At 40.5% G+C, this 9,531-nt stretch overlaps 1 protein-coding gene and 1 pseudogene across 1 annotated transcript; both read right to left on the reverse strand.

The window, feature by feature from the left end:
- Window positions 1-711: 711 nt before the first annotated feature.
- On the reverse strand, window positions 712-5,028 carry CTAGE1 (cutaneous T cell lymphoma-associated antigen 1). Its single transcript, NM_172241.3, has one exon. It carries the CDS (start codon window positions 4,922-4,924, stop codon window positions 2,687-2,689), a length of 2,238 nt encoding a protein of 745 aa, NP_758441.2. The 5' UTR covers window positions 4,925-5,028; the 3' UTR covers window positions 712-2,686.
- ATP7BP1 (ATPase copper transporting beta pseudogene 1) lies at window positions 5,943-6,413 on the reverse strand (annotated as a pseudogene).

Raw genomic sequence — 9,531 nt, forward strand, 5'->3', positions numbered from 1 at the left:
TTTGAGCTTCAAAATGCCTTAAAAACTTTGGAAATATTATTAAGTTTTAAAAAATTTAGTCATGAAACACATATTCATTGAAGGGCAATGATGTGCAAAGGACTGAACTGGGTGCTTAGTCCGTGCCCTTCTGGCTTACTATCCAACAGGAAATAAAAAGATATAGTTCATCACCATACAGGCTGATCACTGCAGATAAGGGTAGAGACAGTATGTTATGGGAGAGGGTTCACATGGGAGGCACCTCATCCAGTCTTGGAGAGTAAGACAGGCTTCCCAGAGAAATCATCAAATGATATTTTAACTGGTAGCTTCAGGACTAGTAGAAGTCAACCGGGGGAAGGAATGGGACTTGGTAAGGATACAGTGGACACAGGCTGCTATTCTAAAACTGCAGAGGAGAGAATGGATACAGAATGTTAGTAAGATCGGGCAGCTCAGTTGGTTTAAGTCAACTTGTATCTTAGTGAAAGCCACCCTGTTATCCCTCCACACCTTTAGAAATGAGATCTCCATGCAGAGATACTTCCCCTGAAAGAAGAAAGAGAGAGACAGAGAAGGAAAGAAGGAAAGAAAGAAAGAGGGAGGGAAGAAAGGAAAACAAAATTAACGATTGGCGAGGACTGCCAACCCGGTTCATAGGTAATGTGTTACCTCAAATTTGGTAAGAGAGTTTGAGGAAAAAGTTTCTGAAGGAAGATTGACTCAACATGGATTTTTATACTTATTCACTCTTTATTATTTCAACTTTCTTTTTAGTTTATTAGGTTCATGGAAAAAAATTAGTAGTCATTCAACAAAAGCAAATATTATTTTTCTTAGTTACAAACAAGCAATGTCAGACACAAGGAACTGAAGTAACGTTTTCAATCTCATTCAGGCCTATTCTGGGGAAAGGTGGCAAAGTAGACACAAAGAGATGACAATACCTGTTTCATACTGAACCTAATGAAATGAAGTGAACAATAAATTAATAAATAAAGCCAAAAATGATTTAGGAACAGTGCTATAACTTTGGAAGTATCTAGAAATGCAAGACTGTGGAAATGGATGCCTGGCTCAATATAAAATTCCTCTAGAAAGAGTTCTGTGGATATGATACATAGACAGAAATCCAGAAAAATCTCCTTAATCTTGCAATTCCCACCTAACTTCCATTCTGGGAGTGAGATATGCTACCCAGTTGTGAAAATAATACATGTCTTTTCTGATTAGAAGTTCTTCCTTGATACCTTGGATAAATAGTATTCAACAGTGAAGGAAGAAACCACTAGGCTTACCATTCTATTTTTCTCTCACTGGAAGGAAGGCAAGAGGCCTAGTATTAAAAAAATCACCAGGAGTTAAATTTTTCCACTAGCAAATAGGGCTTTAACAGAACAGAAGCATAAAGTAGCTGAGGATAGTGGTGGTTCAAGGGAAGACGGAAAATGTATAGGAAGCCCCAGTGTACAATAAGGGCACCTCATGTCTCAAATAGTTACTTTTCTTTTATTTTATTACATTCAAGCAGAGACTGGAGTGGCATTAACTGCTAGGGGAGGCATGTGAGCTAGGATGCTTTTTAAAAGTGAGGGCAGGTTGTCCCCAAAAGAAGCAATGGCTTGGTGGCCCAGCTTGCATGAAGGACTAATCCAAAATTTGAGGGCGTCTCTCAGGGAACACGATACATTTCATCTTTTAACAGAATTCCAGAGAAGAGAGCTCAATCAGAGATCAAATTCACCAACTGCAATTAAGCACTATCTTAGATTTACTCCTTCCCCTTGCCACAGCAAGAGAAAAGCAGAACATAAAACTAAAACTATTAGAACACCAACAGAGGTAAAGGTTGGGAAAGAAGTCAGGAGAAACTGATCTATATAATTCTGGGGCAAGTAAAAGTTCTGGATAAAGTTGTTCCCACCAAATAAAAATAAAACAAAAGAAATAACAACACAATTATGTAATGATATGATGACAAACATAGGAAGAAATTAGCTTAGGGAAGACGAAGGGAAGGAAAGGGAGGGCGAAGAAACCATTCTTGAGGAAAACAGAGGAAACACGAATACTTTCTGCTATAAATGTTTTACACTCTCAAAGTACTGAAAGAGGATATAAAATCTATAAGACAGGAGATCCAAGATCATCTTGGTTTAAAGTGAAATATTCTAACAGTTACATAGTATTCTACCTTCCCACCTGTGCATATTTATATATTTCTTTTTTTAAATTTTTTAAATTTTTTTAATCAACTAAAACTTATTTAAGCATAAAGTTACTTTCACATTTGTCTACAACCACAGTAAATACAGTTCTTGACATAAAGACAATTTAAAGCCTCCCCACCTGCAAGATTACATATATAAAGCTCCCACCATTCTTTATATAATAGTGGATTAATCAAATTAAAAGTTATACTATCTAGAATAAAATAAAATGAAATAATTTACTCATAAGATTCATATTTAAATCATCCTCATTTACAAAATACTATCCTGGGAATTATAGTTCCATTAAGTTTCAATCTGAACAAAAGTGTAATCACTTAAGTAACAGCAGTTACTTAAACTGAAAATGAGATCAGTCAAAATTACTTTTGAAGAGGGCAAACATGTTGTTAGGTTTCTTGCTGTCGTTCTGGATGTTCAGCAGCAGGCTCATTTGAAGTCGGACTCAACCCTGATGGAAACTCATTCTACCTTCAGAATGTGGGGGCTGGGGGGAAAAATGCAGGTCTTGGGGGACGGTAAGGAAGAAAACCTCTCGGTAAATAGACATTTCTCATTGCAAATGGAGCACGTGGTGGACCTGGGACATCCCTTGGAGAAAAATAATCTGGAGAAGCTCCAAACACGGTTCCTGGAGGAGGTGGGGGGAAAGGAGGTCCTCTTCTTATGAACGGGCCCCTTGTATCTACTGGAAACAATAAACCTCTGATTGGAGCAAGAGGTGGAGGAACAAAGCCAGGGCCAGTTGCTTCATTTTCAGCGGGGAGAGATGAATCAGGCACCTTTAAATTACCAAGATTATCTTTGGTATCATTTCTACTGGATTCCATTTCTGAAGGCATTGACCCATCCATTTTATCCAAAGAAGGCATATTAAAACTTCTGAGTTCTGCTGGTCCAGAGAGTCTAGCACAATTAGAATAAAATCTGTCTTGCCTTTGTGGAGGGAGAGCTGAATCAGGATATGATTGTCCTGGTGGAGGAAACATCATCCTATAGTCCTGTTCCCACGGAGGTGCCAGGGGCCCAGCGTCAGAAGGAGCCCTGTGAGGATCAGTTAACCTATCACAGCTTGATTCTCCTCTTTCTTTGGTAATCTGATGGTCCGGAGGATTCCCTGGGCCTCTGGAGCCTCTTCCTCCTCCCCGTGGAAGCAAAGGTGAGAGTCTGAGAGGACCTTCCAACAAAGTTGGAGGATAGAGAGAAGCTCTCGTTTCAGATGAAGGCCAACCCAATGGTGAGGGACCATATGGGGAATGCTGTCTGCCAAATGCTGTATTTGGAACATCAAGTCCATAAGGATCTTTTTCTAAAAGTTTTATTTTAAACTCTATTTCAGTTAATTTTTGTCTGTTGTGAGCATTTTCTTTCCTTAAATCATTGAGGTTTCTTTCAGCAGTCCAAGCTGCCGACCAATTATCATGTGCTTTTTTCTCATGGAGAATAATCTTCTTTTGATAAAAATGAATAGTTTTCTCAAATTCTTTAAGATCTTTGGCTCGCTTTCGGTAGGTCTCCAGCTCTTCAGTGGCATGGCTGATCATTTCGTCTACTTTAGAAAGTTTCTCTTCTTTCTCTAACCGGCATTTTTCCTCTACTATTAATTTCCTGTAGAGTTTCATTTCATTTTCTTGATATAATTCAGTCATTACTTTAAGTTTCTGCTGAAGCTTCTGATTCTCACTTTCAAAATGTGTGTTTTCTGACTGCAAAGATGCTTGTTCAGTCTGAAGATTTTTAATATGCTCTGTAAGCTCTTCCTTTGTTTTATCAACTTCAGATAATTGAATATAAATTTGGTTTCTTTCTCCTTCTAAGGTTTTTAAGGAAGCATTTAACTTAGCAGCATGAATCAGTTTCTTCAAAGCTCCTTTTGGAGGATTATCTAAGTAAGCACCATCTTCCGATTCACTGTTCATTTCTAATTCCAAGTTATCATCATCCGTTACATCTTCTTCAAGCATAGCAACCCCATCTTTCATCTTTAGCAAGCGTTCAGTCAGAGTCTTGATGTGATTTTCTTTATCATTTAGAACTTGTTCTGCATGTACTTTGGAGTCTTCAAATGTTCTTTTCTGTTTAATAAGTTCACTCACTTGTTCTTTCCATACTTCAGCTTCTTGCAAAAGCTGTTTCTGGCTTTCCTGAAGTTCAGAATTTTCTTTCCAAGCATCTTGTATTTCTATCTCCAACCGTTCTTCATTCGCTTGAAATCTCTTGAAGGTCATTTTGGCTTCAGCTACTTGTGATTTGAGGGATTTTGACTCATCTTCTAGCGACTGTATCCTTTTGGAAATATCCGCCATCAATTCATTTTGTTCAGAATGTTTAGATTTCTCTTCTTTTAACTCTTTTTCTAGACAGAGTATTTCATGCACAAGTTCAGAATTGAACCTGTTCAGCTTTTCGCAGGTTGCCTCCAAACTTTGTGCTTCTGTTGCCTCCTTCTCAAAGCTGGCATTCTTTAAAGATGACTCTACTTCATAGCCTTCATACTCTTTTTGAACAAGGCTAAATTTTTCAAGTAGTTTACATTTTTCTTCAATTAGTCCAGAAAGTGCCACAGCAAACTTTTTCTCTCTTCTCACATAAAGCCGACTCGTAACTGATCTAAAACTTCTCCACAAGAAGAGAACAGCAAAAAATCCAGCAACAGCTGCACGTATCACCAATTCCCATGGAAAACCATAAGGATGAGAATCGGGTCTCATACCTTCAGTCAGTGCTGCCACAACCCTGCGTAGCAACTCCAGGACCAGCCCCAGGTATGGCTGAGGGTTAGCCCTAGGCTCCTCCGTAGCGCCAAGGCTGCTCTGGCGGTTGCTGCAGTAACCTCGGCCACAACAAACGCTGGAGAAGACGCAGCATTCCGTTTGGAACCTGAATCCCTAACGGGCAACCGGAGCGTACCACTGCGGAGCCGGCTGCGGGGGGAGTTAGGGGACGCGGGCACCCGTAGGCCTCACAGACCCACACTGCCCACCCCGGTACCTTTGTTACACTTTACATCCTGAGGAAGCGCTAAAACCTATATTTTAAAACAGTACCACATGGTGAGAAAGACTCAGGTGACCCAGCATCCCAGCTATGCCCATCCCAAGCTGACACCCTAGCTAAATGTAGCCTTGTGCATGACCCCAGGTGGGGCGGGCAGAAGAACCTCCCAGCTGACAGAATGATAAGGAATAACAAATCATTGTTTTAAGTCACTAAGCTTTGGGGTCATTTGTTATGCAGCAGTAGCTAACTGAAATACCTGCCCCCTTATCCCTTTGGTGTTTCAGTATCTGTGGCTGAAATAATGAATTTGGGTGCTTGACTAAGATTATGCCCTATGGTAAATTCTGATAGGTAATTTTATAGCTAAAATACAAATTTTCTGATTGACCTTTGCTTCATTGAAGAGATATTTATTTAGCTCCTCCCAAATGAGACAGATTATGCTTTTTAGATTAACTTCTTCCAGGAAAGGGCTCACCACTCCCTAGCATGAGCCTCAGCTGTCCCATGTACAACTGAAAAACGCTAATCTCATCCCCAGAAGATCCAGGACTCTTAGAACAGTGCTGGCACATAGAGAGTGATTCTCTTACCTGTCCATCAAACTTACCTGCTCTGTGTCCATTTCTGAAACACTGGCACTCCTTCAACACGGATGACGCCTTGCCCTGCAATAAGTCATCATCTCCCGCCCATGCACATATCTTCAACTCATCTGGAAAGCTTGCTCCTGCAGCAATGGGTATGCCCACTAGGTTATAAATCAGCGCCAGGACCAGTTTGATGCATATCCTCTGGACAGTCATCTTGGAAATATGAATGCTAGCCACCACATCCAGCAAATCATTTTTGATGAGGATGACGTTGGCTGCCTCGATGACCACATCCGTGCCAGTGCCAGTGGCAATGCCCAAGTCTGCCTGGGCCAAGGCCAGGGAATCATTGACCCCGTCCCCCACCATGGCGACTTTCTTCCCTTCATTCAGGAGCTCCTGAACCTTGGTCACCTTGTGTGAAGGCAACACCTCTGCAAAGACTTTGTTGATGCCAACCTGGGTGGCAAAGGCTCTGACTGTCTTCCAGTTGTCCCCCGTGATCAGAATCACGTTCACATGCATGCTTTGCAGCATGTGCACAGCCAGGGCAACCTCCTGCTTGACAGTGTCTGTGACAGCCATCATTCCACAGAGCACACCTCAACAACTTGCACAAGCACCAGCTCCCTTTGCCATCTTCCGCCCGCATATTTGTATAGTTCTTATATTTTCATTATTAAAAGACAACAAGCTGACTGCATTAGAATTTAAAGGCCTCTGGGTGACAAAACCGTTATAAGCAAAATAAGTAACAGATTTGGAAAATATATGCAACATATAAATTGACAAAGGAATAATATTCAGAATATATAAAGAACTAGGCTGGGTGCGGTGGCTCATGTCTATAATCCCAGCACCTTGGGAGGCCAAGGCAAGAGGATCACTTGAAGTCAGGAGTTCAAGGCCAGCCTGACCAACATGGTGAATCCCCGACTCTACTAAAATTACAAAAATGAGCCAGGTGTGGTGGTGGACGCTTGTAATCCCAGCTACCCAAGAGGTTGAGGTAGGAGAATCTCTTGAACCTGGGAGGTGGAGGTTGCAGTCAGCTGAGATTGCACCACTGCACTCCAGCCTGGGCAACAGAGCAAGACTTTGTCTCAAAAGAAAAAACAAAAGAACTACAAATCATTAATAAAAATATAGTTAATTGAGTAGAAACAGTAGACAAAAGTATGTACGAAGAGACAGGCAATTCTAGAGGAGGGAAATAAAATGTCCAGTGAACAGATAAAATGATACTCAACTTCACTAATTAAAAAAAAGCAAATTAGAACAATAGGGTATGCATTCTACTTCTGGAAAGATGAAGTAGAAGTATTTCCCCCCATTTCTCCTGCTAAGTACAGCTAAAAACCCTGGACAGTAGATATAAAACAACATGAGAAGACTGAACAGTGGAGAGAAGAAGGTAGACCAGCTAGAGATCTCAAAACCCAAGAAACAATATGGTGGTGAGTTCCGTGGGTTTTATTTTTGTCCCAAAGACGAGATGCTAAAGAAGTGGGCAACCAGTAAATGCCATAGACACAGAGCAGGGAAAGCCTGTCTCTCTGGTCAAAAGCCCATAAGAGGGGCAGGCTAGCAAGACAGAAAACTCTTAGGCATGAACTGATCTTTCCCAGCAGACACCACAGAAAAAAACTGTGGCCCACTCCATCTCTACCAGCAAAGTGCAAGAGGGTAACTTAAACTTCCACTCTGGACAAGCTCTACTGAGCACCCCTTGCTTCCCCACAACCCTTCCCCCGTGATATGATTGTTTGTGTCCCCATTCAAATATCATCTTGCACTGTAGTCCCCAATGGAGGGATCCAGTGGGAGGTGACTGGATCATGGGGGCAGTTACTCCCATGCTGTTTTTGTGAAAGTGAGTTCTCATGAGATCTGATGGTTTTATAAGGGGCTTTTGCCCTTTGCTCAGCACTTCTCCTTCCTGCTGCCATGTGAAGAGGGATGTGTTTGCTTTCTCTTCCACCATGATTGTAAGTTTCCTGAGGCCTCTCCATCAATGCTGAACTGTGAGTCAATTAATCCTCTTTCCTTTATAAATTACCCAGTCTCAGGTATGTTTATTAGCAGTGTCAGAACAGACTAATACACCTTGTTGAGGTGATGTCAGAGAAGGCCAAGGGAGGAGTCTGGTCTGGACTTTGTCCCCTCCTGGTGGTAATGAACCACTTTCATGTCCTTCATCAGGACCACTTGGGGAGCCTGAACTCTCACCCGCTATGTAAGGACTCATATCTAGAATACACAGATTTATAAAGGACATTCAAATATCAACTGTAAAAGAAACACGAACAATCCAATTATAAAATGAGCAAAAGATATGAAAAGACACTTTACAAAGTAGACATACAGATGGCAAATAAGCTCATGAAAAGTTGTTCAGCATCACTGGCATTTAGGGAAATGTGAATTAAGACCAGCAAACAATACCACCACACACTAATTAGAACAGCTAAAATAAGACTTAGTGGCAACACCAAATGGTGGCAAAAATGTGGAGAAATTGATCTCTCACACATCACTGGAGGGAATATAAAATGATACAACCACTCTGGAAAATGGTGTGCCCGTTTCTTAAAAAACTAAACATATGCTTATGATGTGACCTAGCCCTCACTGCACCCCTGGCATTTCCCAGAGAAACAAAAACTTGTGTTCCCACAAAAACCTGCACATGGTGCTCATAGCAGCTTTATTTGTGATATCTCCAAACTGGAAACAACCAAAATGCCCTATGATAGGTGAAGGATTGGACAAACTGCAGTAATGCCTACCATGATTTATTGCTGATTTAACTCAGCAATAAAGGGGAAAAAAATATCGGTAAATGCAACACCTTAGCTGGATCTCAAGGGTATTATTCTGAGTGAAAAAAAACAGTCTCCAAAGGTCACACACTGTCTGATTGTGTTTATATAATCATATGAAAATGACACAATTATAGGGATGGAGAACAGATAAGTAGTTAGAGTTGGTGGGGACGGGCAGGTCTGCCTATCAAGGGGTAGCAAGAGGGAGATCTTTGGGGGGATGAGATAGTTCCATATCTTAATTATGGTTATGTTTCCATGGATCTGCGTGTATAGTAAAATGACATAGAACTATACATACTGTATACCAATGTCGATTTTCTGGTGTGATATTGTACTATAATTATATTAGATGTAGCCATTGAAAGAAACTGAGTAAAAGGGGCAAGGGACCTCTCTGTACTATCTTTGAACTTCCTATTAATCAATAATTATTTCAAAATAAAAAACTTCAAGCAGTATGATTCTTTATCCATCAGATTGGAGAACACTTTAAAGCTTGATTCAATTAAGTGTGAGCAAAGTTCTAGAGAACAAGGATAGTCGTTTTGAAGGGCAATTGATAGTGTTTATTACAGCTTAACACATGCACAATCTTCCAAGAGATTCTAAGAGTTCTTTCTGAAAAAAAACACCGATGTGCACTGGAGAGAGACATGCAAGACTATTCATTGTGGCATTGCTTGTAAGAGTGAAAAAATTAAAATAGCCTAAATGCCCATCAAAAGTGGAATAAACAAATTATGGTATATTCATATAATACAATATAACAATTAGAAGGAATTAATTAGATACACTTGTAGCAGCATGATGAGATTTCAAAAACATCGTGTTACATGAAAAAAGCAAGATACAGAATGACACATAAGAGATAATACTTTTAGAGGAAACACATAAAGC

This window comes from Homo sapiens, chromosome 18, assembly GCF_000001405.40.
Source record: "Homo sapiens chromosome 18, GRCh38.p14 Primary Assembly".
NCBI classification, from domain to species: Eukaryota; Metazoa; Chordata; class Mammalia; order Primates; family Hominidae; genus Homo; species Homo sapiens.